This window comes from Homo sapiens, chromosome 13 (assembly GCF_000001405.40).
Source record: "Homo sapiens chromosome 13, GRCh38.p14 Primary Assembly".
NCBI classification, from domain to species: domain Eukaryota; kingdom Metazoa; phylum Chordata; class Mammalia; order Primates; family Hominidae; genus Homo; species Homo sapiens.
The window spans coordinates 105,647,817-105,672,627 of NC_000013.11; the positions used below are offsets into that span (position 1 = coordinate 105,647,817).

Sequence of the window (24,811 nt, forward strand, 5' to 3'; positions counted from 1 at the left end):
TTACAGATGAATTATTAATAGCACGTTCTTTTACTCTCAATTTTTTTTTTCTGGTTTGGAACATAAATTAAATGGCAACCACACTTAGAGCCAAATGTTTTCATGGTGCTTTTGTTTTATATTGAGGATAGAGAGGGCTAACTGGATTGAAAACTTAAAGCAGGCAAAGAGACACCTAGAGAAATTGTTAAAATACAGATTGTTGACTTACAACCCCAGAAATGATGATATAAATTATTGGGGAGGAGAATATTCTAGAAAGATGGTGGAGTAGGTAGCACTAGAAATATGTATCCCTACATAGAAAAAAATAATGCCCTGACAGAATCTGTCTGATGTTACTATTTTGGAATTCTGGAAACTATTGAAATTAAGTTCCAGGGAAAGACTTGCACTTCAAACTCCCAGGAGATGGCTTAGACTGTCAGTTGTGGTTAATTGTGGTCAATTTTAGCTATTAGCACAATAGCACCTATTCATTCCCCACCTCTCAACTCTGTGGCAGGCAGCGGTGCCTGGAGCAGCTACCACACAGCTTGCAGAAACTAGGGTGGGCAACAAACAACCCTGCCTGCCAGATAACAGAGACCCGTGCTCTGATCACTGATCACTGCTTCTGATCCCAGAGGTGCAGACAAAGAAACAGTGGCCATTGTTATGCTCCTCCTCAATTATTGTCAGCCCCTCTCCCCTGGCTGAGGTGGTTCCCAGGGAATGTAAAGAGGGTGGTGCCTCATTTTTTCTCCCTTTGTTTTTCTCTTTTTACTCTTTTGGACGGCTGACATTGAAGATAAAGACATTCACAAGCAACTGTATATATGGGTGAAATTAGGAAGTCACCATGTAGACACAGTGGGAAGATACAAGTTCAGAAAAAAACCTGAGGAGAGAATAAGTTTACACCTCATGCTAATACTTGGCACAGAGACAGCTGCAACAATAAAAAAAAGTCAAGAACAAAACAGCAAACCCTCAGAAAGAAAGAGAATCCGGTTATCAGAGTTAACATATTATTAGATTCAAATGCTCAGTTTTCAAGTGAAAATCAGAAGGCATACAAAATACTAAGTGTAAAATACTGTCAACCAACAATACTAGATTCAGCAAAACTGTTATCTAAAATGAGGGAGAAATTAAGGCATTCCAGGTAAACAAAAGCTGGGGGAGTTTATTACCTCTAGACCTTCCCTGCAAGAAATGCTCAGGGGAGTTATTTGGGATGAAATTAAAGGACCCTAGACAATAACTAAAAGCTATACAAAAATTAAATCTGAATTAAAAATAGGCAATTTTAAAAGCTAGTATTATTGTAACACGCTGTATAACTTCATTTTGTTTTCTACTTCATTTAAGACACTAAAACATTAAGATAATTATTATGCTAAAAGTTGGTATTGTAATTTTGGTTTGCAATTCCACATTTTGTTTTCTACATAATTTGAGAGATGAATGCATCAAAGAATTATTAGTTTATGTTTTCGAACATGAAATGTATAAGATATAATTTTATAGCATGAACAGCTGAAAGAGGTGGGGACAGAGCTGTAAAAAATATTTGAGTGTATTATTAAAATTAAGTTGGCACAAATTCAAATTAGAATGTTATAACTTTAGCATGTTGAATATAATCACCATGGTAACAACAAAGAATATAGAAGAAAGAAAATAGCAGAAAAAAAGACTTTTAATATTTAACTGAAAAATCAACTAGATGAACTAAACACAAAACACAGAAATGTAGAAAATGAGGTATGAGAAAGCTATAAGGCATATAAAAAACAAATAGCAAAATTGCTTGCTTATCAGCAATGATTTTAAGTGTAAATGGATTAAGCTCTCCAATCAGAAGACAGAGGTTAGTAAAATGGATTTTAAAAAATGATGTAGGCCCAGTCTACAATAGACTCACTTTAGACCCAAAGACACAGATACACTGAAAGTTAAAGGATGAAAAAATATATTTTGTCCAAATAGTAAGTGAAGAAGAGCAAGAGTGGCTATACTAATATCAGACAAAGTAGATTTTAAAACATACAAGAAGGACATTATATATTATTAAAAGGTTTAATGTAGCAAGAAGATATAAAAATTATAAATATTTATGCATCTAATAACAGACCATAAAATATATGAAGCAAAAAGTGACAGAATTGAAAACAGAAACATACAGTTCTATAATAATTGTTGTAGTTATCATACCCCACTCTCAATAAGGAATAGAACAATGAGACAGAATATAAGTAAGGCAACAGAGAACTTGAATGGCACAATACACCGACTAGGTCTAATGGACAGATACGGAACACTCTACCCAGTTTCTATGGCATACACATTATTTTAAGTACACATGGAACATTTTCCTGGATAGAACATATATTAGGTCACAAATTAAGTCTCAAAAAACTTACGGTAAAAAATATCATACAAAACATTTTTCTGATCAAAATGGGATAAAGTAAGAAATCAGTAACAGAAGAAAAACGAGAACTTTTACAAATTTGTGGAAATTAAACAACATACTCTTACCAATGGATCAAATAATAAATTACATGAGAAATTAGAAAATACTTGGAGATAAACGAAAATGAACAAACAATATGTCAAAACATATGGGACATAATGAAAGCACTGTTAGAAAATTTAGATGCATACATTACAAAAAACAAGAAAGATCTTAAATCATCAACCTAACTTTACAACTTAAGGAACTAAAAAAATAAGAATATACTGAACCCGAAACTAGCAAAAAAAATGAAATAATAAATATTACAGCTGAGATAAAATAGAGAATGTAAAATAATAGGGAAAATAAATGAAACCAAAAGTTGGTTCTTCAAAATAGTAACAAATTTAGAAAACCTTTAGCTAGAAAGAAAGAAGAAAGACTCAAGTTACCAAAATAAAAAAAAAAAAAAGGAACATAGGAACATTACTTCCAAGTCTACATAAATACAAAGATCAGCAGAGAGTATTACGAAAGTAATGATATGCCAACAAATTGAATAACCTGGATGAAGTGGACAAATTTCTAGAAACGCAAAGCCTACTAAATCTAAACCACAAACAAATAGAAAATTGTAATAGACATTTTAAGAGTCAGGAGATAGATTACTAATCAAAAATATCCTGACAAACAAAAGTCCTTGGCCTGATGGCTTTTTTGCTGAATTCTACCAAACATTTAAAGAAGGGCTCACCCCAATTTTCAATAATTTCCAAAATATCAAAGAAGAGGGAACACTTCCTAACACATTCTATGAGGCCAGAACTACCTTGATACCCAAGTCAGACAAAGACATCACAAAAAATAGAAAACTAAAGATCAATATTCCGTATGAACATTAATGGGAACAATCTTCAAAAAAGTACTAGCAAACTGAATTTTGCAACATATTAAAGGAATTATACACCATTTCTAAGTAGGATTTATGCCTGGAATACAAAGATGGTTCAACATACGAAAATCAAAGTAGGATTTATGCCTGGAATACAAAGATGGTTCAACACACAAAAATTAAACAGTGGAATATACCACATTAACAATGGAATACACCACACTAATGAAGAAAAAAGACATGTAATCATCTTTTATTGATGCAGTAAAAGCACTTGAGAAAATTCAATAACCTTTCATAATTAAAACAATACTCAGTATACTAGGATAGAAGGAAACTACCTCATCACAATTTTTTAAAAAGTTTTTCCTGTCAGATCAGGAACAAAGCAAGGGTGTCTGCTTTCCTCACTTCTATTTAACGTAGTACTGGAAATCCTAGCTAGAGCAATTAGGCAAGAAAAAGAGAGAACATATGTTGGAATAAAGGAAGAAGTAAACTTATCTCTGTCCATAGATGATATAATCATATATGTAGACAACTCTTATGATTCCACCAAAAAATCCCATATGAAACTAATAAATGAATTCAGAACTAATAAGTGAATAATTACATATGGTTATATCAGCTGGCGTAAAACAAACATGTTGGCCAATAGAATAAAATACTTACATGGCCAAATTATTTTTGACAAGGGTGGCAAGATCATTTAATGGGAAAAAGACACTATTTTTAACAACAGATGCTGAGAAAACTGAATCTCCACATGCAACGGAATGAAGTTGAACCTTATATGAACCTCCATATAAAAATTAACTGAATATGAATCAAAGACCCAAATGTAAGGCCTAAAAATATAAAATGCTTAGAATATAACATATATAATGTGATTTATATATACAATGGAATATCATTCAGCCTTAAAAGGGAAGCCAAGTCTGACATAGACTACAACATGGACAAACCTTTAGGATGCTAAGTGAAATAAGCCCATCACAAAAAGGTAAATTCTGTATGATTACACTTCTATGAGGTACTTACAGTGATCAAAATCATACAGACAATAAGTAGAACTGTTTGCCAGCAGCCGAGCTGGGGGAAGGGGGGGAATGAGGAATTGTTTAATGGGTAGAATTTCAGTTTTGAAAGGTGGAAAGAACCCTGAAGATGGAGGATGGTGATGTCTACACAATGTAATATATGTATTTAATATCACTAAACTGTTCATTTAAAAATGGTTAAGATAGTAAATGTCATGTGTATTTTGCCACAATAAAAAAGAAAAAAAAATGAATTAGGGCTCAGTTCTTAAAATCTGTTTTTTGTTTGTTTGTTTGTTTGTTTGTTTGTCAATCTCTCTCTCTCTCTCTCTGACTTGTCTCTGAGCACAGGAATTATTATTCTGCTTATGGTTGACACAGTCAATCGTATCTAAACCTTCAAAGAGAAATACAAAGTTACACAGATTGTAGTTTCACATTGAATGTATCGTTATTGCATGTAATCATGACCATAGACCTTTGAAGCTAGAGCAAATCGGAGCAGAAATTGCTAAGTGTTCTGGGTTTATTACGAAGCTGCCATACAAACGCTGGGAAGGAGGAGCTCCGGGGAGGGAAGGAGAGGAAGGAGTTGAAGGAAAGAATCAAGTGCAATGAATAGCTGCAATTACAAATTAGGTAATTGGGCATGGATGCATTTGCTTTACTTTGCACACTCTGCTATGCATTCTGAATTCACTACTGTCTATTTGTGTGAGTGCATCCTTATTTCTTGTTCCTGAGTTTCTTTAAAAAATAATGATCTTTGGCTGGAAATAAAATACTCTATGTGACACATTATATAGAGGAAACCGTATCATACATAACTGTATAATGATAACCCTCTGTGTTTTGGTTATCAAGACATTTTAGGAAGTCTAAAAAATGGAAAAACATAATGTCATGTCCTGACAAAGGAATTGATGACTCTGGAAATGATGTTATAGTTGTAAACTAGAACCACCAAATATGCCTTACAATTCCATAAAAAATGGAAAAAATACATATACTAAAATAAAACAGCTAAAGAGAAAAGTACCTGAAAAGTTAGAATTACAAAAAAAAAATCTATATTTATAACTATAGCACAAATACATCTTGAGCTTTCGGTAGTAGAATAATTCTCACCTAAACTCTCATGCACTGGTAAATAAAAAGTGTTTCCTGGCAGGTAATGATTAAAGAGTACTAGCAAGGATGACCACTACCAACAACATATTTCTTCCACTAAGATTGAAATAACTAAACTTTAAGGACATTTTAGAGAACTGCAGTCAGTAGGACAGATTTACTATTTTCCCTGTGGAGTGGCACTACAAAACAAGTTTGGGATGAACTAATTGCTCTGATGACACTATGATCAGAACATAATTGGAATTGCCAATGAAACCACCAGCAGAATTGTGGCAGTTCAATAGTTTTCCCCTACTCATATTCTGACATATAACTTGCTTGGAAAAACTTTGAAATCATAGTTTAACTGTGTCATAGTTTTTAAAACACTTTCAGGTCAACCTCTCTAATGTTGCCGATGTGTGTGTGTACGTGTGTGTGTCCGCTCTGGAAGGTTGAGGGGGCTCTTTTTTCTTCCAAATAATCAATATAAACGCTGATAGCAAAAAAAAAGAGACAAAAGTGACTAGTCCATTAAAATCTGAGCTACCTGATTTTTATACTGATTAAAGTAAGTGGAATTTAGGACACTGAATTTGGAGATGAGAGCATTTATCTGTCTTTCCTTTTTTAAATTTTACTCTAGATTCTGAGAAAATGTGTAAAGAAAATTATGAGAGACATTGATAATGGCTAATTGAAATATATGACTCCAATATCATTCTATGATAGAACAGTAGGTTGTATTACTGTTCAAACAATAAGCCACTGATCAGGTTCAGCATTTCACTTGCTCTGGCCAAGGAAATGACAGCAGAAGTAACATGTCTCTTCCAAGCAGATCTTCTGAGACTGCATAGTGTTCACCATGTTCCTTCTCTCCTTCATTATCAGGTATCTTGTAAAAAGATATCCAGCCAGGCTGAGTTTGGGAGTGCAGGTGATGTGGGTGAAGCAGCAGTCAAATGGCAATGGCCATGTGGCACAGGTGAGACAGCAACCTTTATCAGATGCTACTGAGGTTTTGAGATCACTTGATACTTCAGTTAAATTAGGTATCTTGATTAGTAAAGACAACAATCAGATTATAACATGATAAACATGTTAAAGCTATCTGCTCATTAATGTATATTTGACGTGATATACCCAAAGAAGCAGAGTTCGTTATATTCTATTTATTGTAGAAATTCAAAAGTCTCATTTTAAAATCAGGTATGCTGCTGTTTATTATTTCTGTAGATTATATAATGAGATAATGATAAACACTTAAAATATAATTTCCCCAAATTTAGAAGAGGAAAAATGTAAATGAGGATGGTTTCAGTTTTATGGTTATCATAAAATGTAATAAACCAAAGATAACCAGAGATAAGGCAGGACATTGATAAATGTCTTCTATAGGGAAAGTTTTTCTAACAGATGTTTCCCAAGCATTAAAATTACATGGTTATAGCCAATGATTCAATGCTAGCCATATTTATAATAAAAAATACTAAGTGGAGAAAAAGTTTCTCATATTATAATTATGGGTTTTAATTGCCCTTAGAGTTAACATGTACAATTCACTAAATAAATATTAAAGAAAGCATTGTTAATGATCTGTACCTAAATATATGGTCCCTGACAAAAAATAATTGCTTGTATTCCCAGAAATCCTTGTAAGCACCAAAATGTCTCTCTATGCTTGCTTAATACTTTAAAAAATATTTTTGTTTTGTTTTCAATTAAGTGTATTATAATCGAAATTCCCAAACGTTAGTATTTGCTTTTATATAATTCTATCAGTATGTGGAGCTTTTCTTTTAGCTAGATACAGATATAAATATAGATGTAGATATAGATACATATATAGAAAAGCTATTGTGTAAGGCTTGTTTCAGTGTGCATGTGGTCTACTTTGGATGTTGTCCAAGAAGACATACTTTTTAGAACTACTCACAAAATCTCGTGGCATGCATCCCACAGTGGTAGAGTGGTAAAATTATAAGCATTTATGTAAGAATTTTTTGCTTTATGGAATTCAAATTCTAAAGATTGGTTTGCATTTTCATGGAAAACTCCATCTTGGTCAAATCTAGTCACAGCCAAAATTCACCTGATTTCCCACACTATTAAGTCAGGTCAACCTCCCCAAGGAAAATCAGTTGAAGGCTCTACACTGGCGTCTCACACTCCACATCTACTTTGTCTCAGTGACTTAAATAATTGAACAGGCTTGGAGCTTAACGGATCTTCTGTTCTTAGCCACACCTTTTCCTCTCATGAGCCTCTGGCCATAACAACATGCTTCAGCTGAATGGGCTGTGACCTTGTAATTTGTCTTCTTAATCTTCTTATTAACCATTCATTGATTAACAAATGAGATCAATAACATATTTTTGTGATTCAGTCATTGAAATACCTGAACTTCTCTAATTGCTTTAGCCTATGTTACCATGTATAGATGTGTGCGTGTGTGTGTGTGAAAGAGGTGCCAAAGAAACCATTTATTCAGCATAAACACAGTAGTAACATTGAAGTTTGTGAAAATTCATGATCTTGAAATTGCACTCTGCTCATGGATTAAACTTAATACCTGACATAGTGCTGGTAATAGTGTTGAAAATATCATAGTATTCCTTCAGTTTTGGAGCTAACTACCCATAAATCAGTTCAAAAACAATATAAGAAAAATATCAGTATAATGAATAATCACAATCTTAACTACAGCTAAACTTCCTATTTTCTATTCAGCATTCTATTTCTAATAAACTTTAATAAAAGATTAATAGAAATGGAATACTGAATCCTTTTATTAAAAGGTAAGGGAAATAAAAGACTGAAGACAATAAACTGTAAGACAAAGAAAGTTGACTTTTAAAACTTGTCAAGTGAAGGGAACTGTCACGCAGATACTAAGCACAACTGTGAGCTTCAGTTGCAGGTTAGAAGTTAGGGTGTTGAGAAGGAGGAAGAGCTGATGGTGAACTGTGTGGTGTCAGGGAAGGTAAGAGAAGGGAGCAGGGTGTCATTGAGGTGAAAAAGGTGAACATGATGTGAAAGGTATGTCTTTTGTAAATTCACTTCTCTGTAAGAAACAGAGCTGCAATTCATAACGCATTAGTTGCATAAAGCATGGAAGCCTGTTATGGGAAAAGAAGGGAACATATTTGGGAAAAGAAGGGAACATATTTGCAAATTGTTCAAGGACAATGACTCCTTCTATCAGAATGGAGTCACAGTTTTCAGGTTGTCCCCCAGTGCTATTTTAATTATTCTAATTCTCAACCATGCCTTCAGTTTTGTGTCAGAAATGTAAATGATTACCAACCTTCTCAGACTTAAGAATTGTTTCTTCCCATGTAATAAGTGGTAAATATATGCATGCATATTAAAATAATTAACATTAAAAAAGATGTGTAGGAAATATGAAGTTTAACATTAAGGACAGAAAAGTTTACTAAAATGTGTGCTAGATTAGAAAACAATAACTATTCCCTACAGTTGCAGAGATTCAAGATTTATTAGGCCCACATTTCAAGCAGCTGACTTTGATTTTCATGTTTGACATATAAGATATGATTTCTGCTTTCAGGCATGTGTATCTTTGAAATTTTCTCACTTCTCAATTCTGTCAATTCCTTAGTGATCAAGTTTTCAATAAAAACTACCTTCAGTATCTTGGTGCAATTATTGATATGTGTTTTATTTCTATTTCAATTAAATAGATCCACTGAAAAGATAAATGTAAGCCCAATACAGAATTGCCCTTGTTTTTACAGTTATCGGGTAGCTAAAATGTGAACTTCTGTATCTCTTTTTCCAAAACCCTCCTCCTTTTCACTTTGTCATATGGTCCACCAATAAAAATACATTGAATGCTAAGACATGGAATAGTATCAGAAGCAAAACAGCTTAAAGGTTTAAATTGATTATTCTCCTATTTTTAAGATCCTTAATATCCAGTGAGAATCTCAGAGGTTAAGGATTACTGATCCTTTAGTAATAATTGATTAATCACACACACACATATTATGGTGGCTGCTCGATATTTGGAAAAGGGCAAGATGAGGATCACAGGTGCAAGAGAGGTGGGGAGGCCTTCTGAGTACTAATAATCACCTCAGGATGCTGTGCAGCATTCTTAAGCCTCAGCCATCTCCGATCATGTGAAAAACAGACTAATTTGCTGCTAAGTCCTTATAATCTTTAAGAAAGACCACTGGATATGTTCAGACATGTGAGGTGTCCAGAACTGCACCTAAAAGTCCTGAACACTTTCCAAAATGAGGAGGCACTGAAGAAGCTAGAATGTGATAGTGAAACTCTGACCTTAAGAAGTTCCCTGATAAGCTAATATTTTTCCTGTTCTCAATACCTTCTGAATTAGCATTTGATTCCTTTTTTTTCTAAATTTCTCTATCAAAATTTTAAAGGGAAATCCTATTTAATTTAAACCTTTCAGAAATCCCTTAGACCTGATCTGTCCCTACCAGATGCTTGGAAAAACATATGCCCAAAACATCGTCCTAGTGTGGACTAGATGCAATGGAGGTTTATTTTTCTTGGGAAAAACATGTTAGCGCCCAGTCCTATCACCAAGCATCTTACATAACTATCATGTAACCGTGAGCAAGTTACTCAACATGTAGTTGTTGTGTCTTGTTCTGCAAAGCTGTCTCAAAAGTTTCCGACTACTTAGTTAGTGAATGCAAAGCCCTTTGAAAAGCTGTAAACATAAGGAATTTTTAACAAAGAGAAGTGAGATGTCCTAATTATGGACTGTGGGTACATACGAATACTTACAAAATATTTTTTACGGGGCAAGAAGGTTATTTAGGGGGTGCGAAATGCACGGTGATACCTCTAGAAATAAGGATGGATACTAGTTGGAGAAATATGTGTTTTTAATCAGAAAATACAATTTCAAAAAAATGACCTATGAATTGGAAGTTAGAACTTTTCGTAGCAGTGATGGGATGTGCTCTCCATTGTTTTGAAATAAAAGTTTAACAAAAGCAGAGACTACTTTTGAATGATCATCCCTCTCTGTCTGTCACCAGCACATTTAGGTGCTTTTACAAGGGCAAAATCTTGACATAAACCGTGCTAAGCAAGGGGAAGATATCCATCCTTCTTTCTTAGAGCCGCAGGCTCTTTCAAGAGCAGTGTGAAAAAACAATTGAATGTTAGGAAAGGTCAAAAGCCAGGATGAAGAGACATTCTGATTAAAAGCTTTCCCTAAAGGCAGCAAGACCTTTCCCTGTTCTCTAATTCAAACATAAAGACATTTAGCTCATGCTAGTTTTCTGGTTAATTTTTCAAGAATATGGGTTGTTAGGGATCAGAACACTGTATAAGCTTCAAAAGATTTGAAAAGCTCTGGCTGGACCCAAACTCTTTAAATTGGGTCTCACTGCTAACGTAGCTCTTGTTCGTTCTTTTAATTTGTGCTTTTCTTCTTTCTTCACATTTCTTTCTGATATCCTTCACAGTTTTAAAAGGCTCATTTTTTAAGCTATATGATTTAAGACAAAGAATTTCTACAAAGTCTTGTAGGAGAACTGAGTTTTTTTACCTTCCAAAAGAAGCTAGTCATACAATATTTTTTAGAAATCAGTGGTATTGATATATGAACCTCAAAAATTTTAAAGGCTTAATTTTTATCCCAGTTACTTTGGTAAAGAAAACCTCAGAAGATCAAGTTTTCTTTTTATATTTCTATTACTTCCTGGTTTCAGTCAGATCTGAAATACCACAAAACAGCTTGATTTGGATTTTTTTTTTAATATGACACAAAAGTTTCCAAGTTTGAACACTGATGGAAACCCAGATTTCTCATTTATATAATATGGAAAGCAAAAGTGAAAAAAAGTGAAAGACTAACATTTACAAGGATTGATTTACTGTCTACATGTATAGATCCATAAGGTTGCTGTCACGCCCTGTCCCTAATAATATTTGCAGGACCCAGGGCTACAGTGGAGATCTGCATGCTACATGTGCAAATAGTATAAGGGAAAGCCAAGGAAACGATAACTTGTCAGTTCTTCAAAATGTTAAACATACAGTTTCTGTCTGATCCAGCAATTCCACTCTTAATTATATACCCCAAAAAATTGAAAACAGGGACTCAAGCAGACACTTGTACAACAATGTTCATAGCAGCATATTCACTGTAGTTAAAACATGGAAGCAAGTCAAGTGCCCAGCAACTAATGAATGGATAAGCAATATGCGGTACACACATGCAATGAAATATTATTTATCTATAAAATTATGTGAATGAAGTACTGATACACGCAACAACATGGATGAAACTTGATAACACTGTGCTACAGGAAAGAAGCTAGACATAAAGGGAAAACACTGCATGTGTCCACTATATTCAGGATCTAGAATAGGCAAATGCAGGAAAGCAGAAGGAAGAATAATGGTTACCAAGGCCTGAGGGTACAGGGGATTGGGAAGTTAGCGTTTAATAGGAACAAATGTTTCGTTTAAAATTATGAAAATGTTCTGTATATAGTACCGATGGTTGTACAACATCATGAATGAACTTAAAGCCACTGAATTTCACACTGAAAAATGATGAAAATGGTAAATTTTATGTAGGTTTTGTATATATTTATATTTTCTGTATATTTTACCACCTAAAATTACTTTATATAAAAAAGGAAACAATTTGTTAAACAAGTAAGGTATATCCTATTCTCTTCTCTTAACTCCTTATACCTTTTGGTATGATTTGAATTTAGGCTTGGCGGATTTCACTGTCTTCCATCTGGAATATTGTGAAAGCCTCCTGCTCTATATTCCTTACCTACACACACACACAAACACACACACACACACACACACACCCCTGTAGTGAATTCTCTGCTATTCCTGCCTAGCCTGCCACACCTTGGAGGGTCCCAGTGGTCATGTACATTAGCCCCACGATCAAACAACATCCTCATCCCCTTGCTGGAGAGAGGCCCATACTGGGGATGGTGTGGTGTGACCACAAGAACATGAATCCAAGCAAGAGATCTGCTCTTGCAAATGAGCTCCACACTCTGCAAGGAAGAGCCACAGAAAGCATTGTGCAGAAGGAGACACAGGCTAATTGTGTGTACGTTCCCTTGGCTTATGGCGTTCTTGGACTTCTTGCCCCATGCCGAGGGGTGCATTGTCCACAAGAGGGTAGGAGTGGGGATCCTCTACAGTACGGGGTCCAGCATAGCCTCCTCTCTCCTTGAGGTCTCAGGGCAGAACTGGGTCCTGTGATTGATTCACAGACTTTTCATGCAACCTCACCAGTCGCACTGAGTAGAGAGAACTTCACCAGTTCAAAGAAAAAAATAAATGTCTCATCTAGACTTCCTACAAAAAAAAAAGGTCTCTGAGCTCACTCACTTCTTTCAAGTTTTTCTATTTTAAGAAACGGCTGTGGTGTTAATCCATATAGAATTAACACCAGCAGCCCTCTGCGGCACATAACCTTTTGACATCCAGATTGGTTTGTTTAAACACTCTTTGTTGTGGCTGCTCAGTCATTTCTCTCAAATGCTGACAAACTTGTGCACAGACAGACACTCCAGAAAATCTATTTTGGGGTCCCTAAAGTGGATTATTGACTTTGTTGGACAGCTGCCATATATTTTTACTTTATACACCCCTTTTCTCTCCTTAACTTTATCTTCCAATAAGTATCAGAGGCCCTAGTAGTCTGACTATTTTAAAGAAAAAAGTGATGGTGATTTTGAATAAATAAAGAATCACAGCTTTTTCTTCTCATTAAAACAAGAAGTAAAACTTGACTGATCATGTATTGATGTCTACGCCATGATGAACATCCACTTGTACCTTTCCCATCTCTTTCCAGTTTTAAAAGTACATACCTATCACAATACTGCCATTTCTTTGGAAGATCTCGACCTGCAAATAGAACTTGGCTGTATTGCTTTGGTTTTCTCTTTGAATTTTGCAAGTATATCTAGTTCTTCCTGTTGTAAATATATTTAGTTGCTTCCATATTAAGAAGATCAAGAATACTATCCTTATGACCAGAAATTCAAACTACTCATTTTTTCTTTGGGTCTCCTGATGAAACCAAATTGTCTTAACTTTTTAAAATTTGCCAATGAGACGTTTACCTTTCAGAATTAAGCTAGAAATGTGATGTCTGTGGTTTCTCATTGGCTCATTTATATATCCCTACAGAAATCATCACATTAAACACTACATAAGTAGTCACTGCAGGCAAAAGCCATTATTGATGCTAAAATTAGTGGGCAAGTGTATGATGAAAAACAGAGTATTTCCATAGCCTAAAAATATCTTCCCAGAAGACACTTACAAGTTATAAATTTAAAAAAAAATCACTTAAAAGACATCTGACAGACAACATAGAAATCAAAACAAACAAACAAACAAAACATAAAAAAAAAATGATCCACTGAGCATGGTGGCTCATGCCTATAATCCCAGCACTTTGGAAGGCCGAGGTGGGTGGATCACGAGGTTGAGAGATCCAGACCATTCTGGCCAACGTGGTGAAATCTCGTCCTACTAAAAATGCAAAAATTAGCTGGGGGTGGTGGCGCATGCTTGTAATCCCAGCTACTTGGAAGGCTGAGGCAGGAGAATCGCTTGAACCCGGGAGGTAGAGGTTAAAGTGAGCCGAGATCATGCCACTGAACTCTGGCCTGGGGACAGAGCGAGACTCCGTCTTAAAAAAAAAAAGGAAAAGAAAACAATGATCCGTGTTTACATCTCATACATCACATGCTATCATATAGTGGAAAAGCACAGTATCATCACATCTGCCGCAGTTTTGAAAAACTGCATAACCTCAATTTAGTCATGTGAAAACATCAGACTAACCCAAACTGAGGGGCATTCTATACACAATAACAGACCAAGCGTTCTCCATGAGTTTCAAGTTCGCAAAAGACAAGAAAAGAGTGAGGGACTGGCACAGATTGCAGACAACAGTGGTGACATGACACATAAATGCATTGTGAATCGTGGAACCAGAAGAAAGACATTAGTGGTAAAACTGAAAATATTTTAATAAGGCCTGTAAATTAGTTAATATTATTAACTAAAACTAGCAGTAGTACTATCATTACTATCCTACATTGCTGTATTTAATATTATATACTATATTTTGTTATTACATCATTGTATTGTGGATAAGTAAATAATGATACTATTAGTTAATAATAATTAGTTATAGCGTAACTAATACCAATTGGCTCATAGTGAATGTTGGTTTTCTGATTTCAATAAATATACCATGATTATAAAAGACGTTATCCTTAAGTGAATCTGGATGAAAAGTATACAAAAACTTTCTACTATCTTTACAGTTTTTCCAAAAGTCTAAATTTATTTGAAAATAAGAAATTAAAATAAAACAGGGCATATTCAGCAAACTTTTTTTTTTGTGCTTTGATCTTATTCCATCTGCCTGGAATGAAGGATCAGTGCTGCAAGGGGAGCAGGCAGAAGGTACCAAGGACGAGGGTGATTACCCAGAAACAGAGGGGCCATGGCTCACAGAACTGCGCTGCTGCAGAAGCTCATGCTGCCTGCCTGCCAGTCTCCAGCCTCTTGTCATATGGGAAAACAAACAAAAACACGAAAAACAAAGTCTGTATATTTAGGCAATCCACCAAAAATAATAAGATAAATAATTCTGATATTTAAACTCTATCATTCTTTGGAAATTAACATTTTTCATTAACAAATTATTATTATTATTTATGAGATGGAGTCTTGCTTTGTTGCCCAGACTGGAGTGTAGTGGTGCAATGTCAGCTCACTGCAACCTCCGCTTCCTGGGTTTCAAGCGATTCTCCTGTCTCAGCCTCCCGAGTTGCTGGGATTACAGGCATGCACCACCATGCTTGGCTAATTTTTATATTTTTAGTAGAAACGGGGTTTTACCATGTTGGCCAGGCTGGTCTCGAACTCCTGACGTCAGGAGATCCACCAGCCTCGGCCTCCCAAAGTGCTGGGATTAGGATTACAGGCGTGAACCACTGCACCTGATTCATTATATAATAATTAAATAATTATATATTTATATATAATTAAATAATAATTTAATTAATAATTAAACAATAATTAATTATATATAAATAATTAAATTATTATTCTCAATGATTACAACAAAATCTTTGAATGCTATATACTTTAACAGTCAAAGATTTGCATGCTTCTTTTTTGAGAGGAGGGTGCACAGTACCAGTGTCTGCCTAACTTGGAAGTCACTAAACAAGATTTCCTCAACATGCATTGGTGATGTCTATGACAAAACATCACTGACATTACATTCAATCAACTTTACACTGATGCAATAGCTTACATTTTACAAAATATGTCAGATGCATCATCTTACTGAACAGCCCCAATAATTCTTTGAGGTAGATATTGTTATTTTCATTTGTGGAGAAGACTGATGTTCAGCGAGGTTTAACTACTGAAGCTCATATGGCCACCATGGTGGTATGAAAATACACCCTTTTTTTTATATCATTCCTCACTTCATACAAGGGAGGCTAGTTTTCTTGCTCTGAAGTATGACCACCCTTAGTGACTCACTTCCAATAAACTGAATGTGTATAAATGGTGACTTGTGACGTCTAAGACCAGGTCAAAAAGGCATTATGGTTTCCTTCTCACCCTCTCTTTCTTGTATCTCCCATTCTGGGGAAAGTCAGCTGCTAAAAAGTGAGGCCAGTCAAGCTGCCAGTGAGGAGTGGATATCTTCTGCCAATACCACATAAATAAGATACCTCGGATGCCGATGCTGCAGCCACTGTCATACCTACAGGTGGCTGCTGCCCTGACTGGCATCATCACTGTAACCTCATGAAAGATCCCAAGCCAGAACCGTCCAGTTTAGCCATTCCCAAATGCTTGACCCATCAAATCTGTAAGAGATAACAAATACTTACTGTTTTAAGCCACTAAGTCTTGGGATAATTTGTTACACAGCAATAGTTAACTAACACAGCTACTGGTAACAAAGGCTGGATTGGAACCCGGATTCTTTGATCCAAGATTCAGAGTAATTTTTACTATACTACAGATGCTTTCTTCTTGAAAAACTATAAACCAGTTCATTATATTGCTGCAAACATGAATAATCCACATGTAATTGTAGCTTTGTAATCAGCACTCTCAGTAATGGGAGGCATTTGCCATTTTGCAGATATTTCCTGTCACTGCTTCAGGGCTCACATCCCCAGCATGACATAACATTTAGTGGTTAATAGGAAGAACAGGCAGAGAAATTCTCACGTGCAACGAAATCCATGCAGTATTCGTGGAATAAATCATGCAAGTGTTTTAGAACATACTTTATTTATATAGCATATAAATAAAAAGATTTTATCCCTGCTAGGGTTTATACCTGCGATAGTCCAATCACTCTAGAACAGGTAATTAATTAGAGTAGCTATAGTTAGCCACTGTATTGCTATATAATTGTTAAATTTTATATTAATCCTGTTTGTCTATATGTTTTCTTTGTTTGTCCAAAAAAAGATGATTATGAACAGAGCAGTTACCAGGACAGAAGAATATATTTTGCACACATGAATATTATCAAAGGTATAGGATTTTTTCTAAACATATAAAATAATTAATATTTAATAATTATAGCTATGTTTAATAATTATAGCTATCAATTAGTAAAGCTATATTTAATAATTATAGAAATCAATTATTAAACTTTATTATTTTGACATATCCACACAGGTGCGCATGTGCACACACACTTATTCATGTCCCCCCTGCAGACGTCTTGATGCCTCTTCTCTCTCAAGTCCAAAAATGGAAGCAAAGGCAGCAAATGTCTGGAACAGCTTTAACAAAACTTCAATAAGAGAACAACGCATGGCTTGCAGGTTTTAAAGCTCTACCCCATGTGTTCTCATCTTGGAATAAGTCATTTTTACAGTCCCATACCATGTCTGACAAAGGCCAGATTCTATGTGGAAATCATGTGCTTCCTAAAGCTTTGCCTGAAAATGGGCCATTCTTTTCAACAGAATTTGCCATTTCTGGTCAAATGGAAGAGAAATACCACAGGCAGGGCTAGTAGTAACCTGCCACTGTCTCACTCTTGTAATGCTGGTTTTTTTCCTCCTTATTTGAGCTCAACTAAGGTGCTAATCACTTTGGTATGTGTATGTGCGTGCCTGAGTCTTAGTCAATGTGGCCAACAACTGACTCTTTTTCTCAAATTTTTCAATTCTCTACTGTGCTGTGTGCTGTGTTTCTACTCTAGATGCAGGAATACATCAGAGGTTGCTAGGAAGTTTTTCCTGGTGTTCAAAGAACTGCAACTGGGTTTCATTAAAAAAAAGAGAAAGCAGGTGTAAAATTACTTAAATAAAAAGTAGCCTCCAAATTGTTGACATCTATTTTTTGTGGGGTACATACAAAGGTACCTTTAAAACTGTAAGAATTATAGCTTACATTTGCTAATTGTGTTTATCTGTGGATTCTACATTACATAAACAATTCAAACCTCAAGCATAAACATTTAAAAAACACATATGAATAGCAAAACAAAAGAATAGAAGATTTTTTAAAATCAGAATGTGTGGACTTTCAGTTTTATCTCCTATGTGTGAAAGCTTGGACTTCATTATTCCTGTTCTTACAAGGAAAAGCAGGACAAAGTGAAAATCAATGAATTTTATTGGATGCATCAGAGAATAGAAGTTATAGGATAAAGCACCACCTCATCCAGCAGATGCAGCTGAGATCCGCTTAGGTGGAATAATAAGTGAATACAGCAAGGTTACAGGATATCAGGGCAATATAAAAAGTCCATGGCTTTCTCATACATGAAAGACAAAGATTTGGAATTAAAATGTAAAAAAAACCTTATAATTTACAATAGCATCCAATAAATGATATACTCAAATATAAATCTAACAAAATATGCACAGGATTTGTATGTTGAAAACTATAAAACATTGATGAAAAAATCAAAGATCTCAATAAATGGAGCAATATTTCATGTTTATGCATTAGAAGACATAACATTGTTGAGATGTCAATTTCCTTCAACCTAATCTGTAGATTCAATGTAACCACAAAAAGAAAATCGTGGCAAGCTATTTTGTAGATGGAAACAAACTGATTCTAAATTTCATACAAATGGCACAAGACCTGGAAAAACAAATACAGTAGTAAAAAAGAATAAGAAGAAAGTCAAAAGACTTGTCCTATTAGCCTTCATGATTTACTGCAAAGCTACAGTAATCAAGATAGCATGATATTAGCCAATCAATAAACACTTAGATCAATGGAACAGAACAGAAAAGACAGATATCATCGGTATTAGTTTATTTTGTGCTCCTGATAGAAACTGGGCAATCTACAAAGAAAAAGATGTTCAATGGACTCACAGTTCCACGTGGCTGGGGAGGCCCACAATCCTGGTGGAAGGAAAAAGGCATGTCCCACATGGCGGCAGCAAAAGAGAAAATGGGAACCGAGTGAAAGAGGTGCCCCTTATAAAACCATCAGATCTCATGAGACTTATTCACTACCACAGGACAGTATAGGGAAAACCTCACCCATGATTCAATTATCTTTCACAGGGTCCCTCCCACAACACGTGGGAATCATGGGAACTACAATTCAAGATGAGATTTGGGTTGGGACACAGCCACATCATATGATTATTGTACAGAAATACCATCATTTAATCTTTGACAAAAGGGCCAAAAAGGTTGAAAGAAAAAGAGAATAGTTTTTTCAACAAATGATTCTGGATTAATTGAACATCCACATACAAAAATAAATAAATAAATAAACTTAGAAAAAGACCTTATACCTTACACAAAATTAAATCAAAATGGATCACAAATGTATGTAAAATACAAATGATGAAATTTCTAGACAAAAACATAATAGAAAATCTGTCTGACCCAGGATTTGGTGATGAGTTTTTAAACATAACACCAATAGCACAATCAATTAAACAAATAGATGTGTTGGACTTTATCAAAATTAAAAACTTATGTTTTATAAAATAAATTGTTCAAAGAATAAAAAGACAATCCACAGACTAAAAGGAGATATTTGCAAAACACATATCTAATAAATTACTTATATATAAAATATACAAAGCCATTTTAAAACTCACCAAAAAGAAAACAACATAATGAAAATAATTGTTGACAATGAAATGGAGTAATGGGAACTTTCATCCACTGCTGATCAGAACTCAAAATGGCACAACTGCTTTAGAAGACAATTTGTCAGTTTCTTAACAAGGAAAAATGTAGCATTATCATATAATCCAGCAATCAGACTACCAGGTGTTTAACTAACTTATTTGAACATTTATATCCACACAAAAAGCAGCATGCATATTTATACATGTGGCAACTTTATTTATAATTGTCCCAAATTGGAAACAATCAAGATGCCTTTCAATAGGTGAATGAACAAATAAACCATGGTATATCCATGTGATGAAATATTATTCAGTGATTTAAAAATGGGCTATCAACATACACAAAGACATGGATGAATCTTAAATCCATATTACTAAATGAAGGAAGTCAGTCTGTAAAAGCTACATACCCATGAGTTCATTTATGTGATATTCTGTAAAGAGCAAAACTTTAGAGCCAGTAAGCAATCAGTAATTTCTAAGGGAGGGAAAGGTTGACTGGGTGAATCACAGGGCTGTTCTCGGGCTGTAAAATTATTCTGTATGATACTGTAATGGTGAATACATGACACTATGAGTTTGTCAAAACCTTGGAGAAATGGTTAATCCTGGAGCTACATAAGGTAATATACAAGATAAGCCTGGAGCATCTTGACATTTTAGAAAGTAAGAAAGTGCTAAACAGACCAAGCTGCAATAACATCAAAAGCACACAGCAGCTACTTAAAGTGTCCGATGACCAAAGCTGGAACAATTTGAGCAAAAATAAAAAAGATTGGATTATAACCCAAAGTACAAGAGAAATGTCCATGAGTTCTTATTGATATAGCTAAAATACAATATAGAAACAGGGAAAAAATTAACTTTACAGTGGAGAATCCTGACAAATACTACCTCAACCAGGTGATCAGTGTTAACATCAATAGTTTTAAGTCATGTCAATAGTATAAACCCTTGATATGCTGTGATGAGAATGTATTTTACCTCTGTGACAGTCCATCCCCACAAGCCCTAAGTCCAGTCTAATCATGGTAAAAAATCAGAAAAATTACAAGAAAGGAACATTTTACAAAATATCTGACCAGCACTCCTCAAAACTGTGAAGGTCATCAAAAATAAGAAAATCCTAAGAAACTGTTATAGCCAAGAAGCACCCAAAGAGACAAGATTAGTGAAAGTTCTGTGGTATCCTGGATGGAATGGAATTCTGGAGCAGGCAAAATATATATATATTTTTTTACATGTGTATATATATTTATTTTATATACATTGTATATAAATATATAATATATATTTGTTACATATTTAATAATGAGAGCAAAACTTTAGAGCCAGTAAACAATTCAGTGATTTCTAGGGGAGGGGACGGGATATATAAAATATATATATAATATACGTATTTAAATATATGTGTGTGTGTGTATATATAATATATATATATATGTATAACATATATGGAGCATTCTGTAATCTCTGTGTGTTTTTTTGTTAATTTAAAACTATTCTAAAAATAATGTTTATTTTATAAAGTCAGAATAAAAATAAAAATCCAGAAAGTGTTATAACTGTGAAACGGGACATTTATTAAGAAAAGGAACAAAATAATTAGATTTTTTAGTAAGTTTTTTTCTCATTATTCTGCTCATACATAGTCATAAATATTCAGTCAGTGTATATAAAATATTGAGGCATATAAGGAGTATCTATATTGAGCAAATAATTTTTATTTATTTGCAGCAACATATTGAGTCAAACATGATAATTCACTTTCATAATACATATTTTGGACTTTGTTGTCCAAGTGATTCTGATATTTCTAGAGTCTGTCCTTCATATTTTCCTATTTCAAAAACTAATGTAGTTATATTCTGAATGGAGAATCATAGCTTCATATAACAGAGTGGTGAGATAGAAGAAGTGGGGGAGTGAAAAGTTCCAGTCCCTGTAACGTGGTAGTTACTAAATTGCTATGGCCTAAATTTTTGCATGTAAAGTAGTATATGTCTATCCTTATACAACTGTATGTTTAATTGATAGTGGTTTAATTCCCCAAGTGGTTTAATTCATAAAGCAATTCCTTGGCAAGAATGTGGAGAGACATCATGAGTGTCCTAGGTATTCAATAATAGATTTCAAAAGTTGTCCTTGCAATTAATGTTTTATTATCAATAAAACTTGAAAGATAACTAGAGCTAACAAAAAGGCAATGACTGCAAAAATTACTGAACTTAGCTTCACTTTTATAGTGTTTTTTTCTAGAGGCGGCTGGGTTCAAGAATAAGGTTAGTGTATTCTTACTTTAGCTTATTACCTCTTTTTATTTTAACAAATGAGAATAGGATTTATTCTTGGCAGCCTTCAGAAAAGGAAATATCTTCCTCTCTCTTTTCTAATTGCTGTTTCAGGATTCAAAAAATAAATAAAGACTTGCTTACACAGTTCAAACATGAGAAGTATTCCTTCTTCTTGAAAATGCCTACTTTACAGCAGCTCTGAATTGGTACTTGCCCTCAAATGAGTTTATTCATCATTCTGAAGGTCTGACCTTGTATTAAAAGAAAATAATGCTCATTTCACAAAACCTTTCAAAATGGTGATTTTGAAGGGTGTATTAGTAACAATTACAGCAAAGTTAGCTTCCTATACTTGGAAGAGATGAGGATCTACTCATCTCCCCCTAATTAACTGGTATGGTCATCACCCTCAAATACCTACACCTAGGATATATGATGGACCAAACTTTTTTCCCTTCCCCTATTGCCTTGTCTGCTTCTACTATAGAGATTGTGGAGGCAAAAACCTTCATTTCCCCTCCTTTTTCACTGTTAGAAATGATTGCTTCTGGGCAGTGATACGTACATCAGTCTCCCAAGGTCACTCCTCTCTTCTTTGACTTTCCCGCCTGAAGGTGCTAAAACCACTGCAGGAAGTTACAAAGGGTCTGGCTTCTTGGTGTTATTCTCCCCAAATGCTCACCCCTGAATGTTTTGCACAAGATAAATTATTTGTGTTTAAGCCACTACAGTAACATTTTCTGTTATGAGTAGTTGAACCTAGTCCTAAATGCTGTAATAAACATGGAGACAGCAAAAGCAGCTGATGACTTTTAAATGGCTAACACTCTATAGGTCCACGTGAATAATATCCAAGATACTGCAGGAAACTGTCATTGGTAATATTGAAGTGCTTGAACAGTACTGAAAGAATTCTTTGAATGCATTAATTCAGTAATTTTGAAAGAATCCCTGTGTGAAAGGTAATATTCTCATTCCTGTTTTTTTTCTTGAGCAGACTGAATTTCAAAAAAATGTTTCAGTGATCTGTAAATATATAACTGTGCTCACACAGCTGGTGAGTAAAAGAAGTTAATTTATAACCCCATCTGATTCAGAGGCTAAACTACTACAACTTTCCTACTTCTGGCCTTCTTGTGATATGACACATTAACTCTCTTTATTATTTAATACTTTTTTATGGGAGTCTAATCACATTATAACATATATACATCAAATTTGGAACTAATTATCTAGTATAGTAGAAGATAGAATCAGACTTAGAAATATGTTATATGACAGCAAGTCCTACATTCACTCAATAAATACATTTTATTTAAATTAAAATTATTTAATATATGTCAACTACATAATATTCAGTAGGAATATAATAAGTAGAATTAGACATGGCCCTGCCCTCTTGAAATTAACTGTGCAGTGGTAGAGAAAAAAACTGAACCACAAAATTCAATGTAAGATTACAATTTTTTTTTTTTTTTTTTGAGACGGAGTCACGCTCTGTCGCCCAGGCTGGAGTGCAATGATGTGATCTCAGCTCAACTCACTGCAACCTCTGCCTCCCAGATTCAAGCAATTCTTCTGTCTCAGCCACCCGAGTAGCTAGGATTACAGGCATGAGCCACCGTGCCTGGCTAATTTTCATAGTTTTAGTAAAGGCGGGGTTTCACCACATTGGCCAGGCTGGTCTGGAACTCCTGACCTCGTGATACACCTGCCTCGGTCTCCCAAAGTGCTGGGATTACAGGCGTGAGCCACCACACCTGGCCAAGATTACAATGTTTTTTAAGTGCTATCAGGAGAGGGGTATAACTTGGTCTTGCCTGAACAGTCAAGGAAAAGGCCCTGACAAAATAAAAATGAGATAAACTTGGATAATCATAGGTTTGAACCAGGCAGCAAAGTAGGAGATTTAAGAGAAAAATATTGAAAGTAAAAATAAATAAATAAATAAATTATACACTTCTAAGATGCAGTGATGAGAAGTTGAGAAACCTATGAAGAAATTAAGGAAGGCTGAGCCAGAAAGTGAGGGGAATCCTGGTTCATGACAATATTGAAGAGAGGAAGTTAGGGTAACTAGCAGCATTGTAAGAGAGCCTTGTACTCCAGATAGAGGGCTTGGGTCTCTATCCTGAGAGCAGCAGGGTATCATAGATTTTGGTCTTTATCCTAAGAGAGATGAAGTGTTATAAGGTTTGGGTCTTTATTATAAGAGGAGGGAGGATCACAGTGTTTGAGTCTCTATCACAAAAATGGTGGAGAATAAGAAAGTTTAAGTCCCTATCCTAAGATCAATGGGGCTTCATAGTGTTTTGTTTTTTATCCCAAGAGCAATAGGAAATCATTACGGATTTCTAATAGTAGAATACATTATCATATCTATCACTCTGGCTGATATATGGACAAAACTGGAGGGATAAGAAGATGCTTGAGGTAGTGAAACCAATGAGAAAAACATATGGCTAATGGTTTAGTCTAAGTGATATGGTCCAGATGAAATGGTGATGGTGGTGTCATGGTATGGATGAACGTGGTTAAGTTAGAAGCAGATACAGGTAAGAGATATTTAGAAAGTAAAATCAACAGAGTTTGGTAATAAACATGTAATGGCAGGTGAAAGTGTAGTGAGATAAAGTATCATTTATTAGTCTTAGATTTCTGGTGTAAATAATTCAACACAAAGTGGGATCATTGCCAGAAGTAGTGAACACCCCAAGAGAAGGAAAGAGATTTGGAAAAGAAAGTCATGAATTCCTTTTTGGACACAGTGAATTGAGAGGCCTTTAAAACATCCAGATGAAATGTCAAATGGCAATTTTTGATAGGGTTGGTGTCAGTGGGGAGTTCTTGGTT

The 24,811-nt window shown here is 34.8% G+C and overlaps 1 long non-coding RNA gene across 3 annotated transcripts in view; it reads right to left on the bottom strand.

Annotated features, from left to right (window-relative positions):
- LOC105370345 (uncharacterized) overlaps nt 1–24,811 on the bottom strand; it is a 134,781-nt gene that overhangs the window by 75,741 nt on the left and 34,229 nt on the right. The window contains exon 6 of one of the 3 annotated variants that reach the window (XR_931702.2): nt 14,820–15,069. The exons of the other annotated variants lie outside the window; for them this stretch is intronic. This is a non-coding gene — a long non-coding RNA (uncharacterized LOC105370345). Of the gene's footprint in view, nt 1–14,819; nt 15,070–24,811 lie in introns of those variants that run through there. 3 annotated transcript variants of the gene reach the window in all.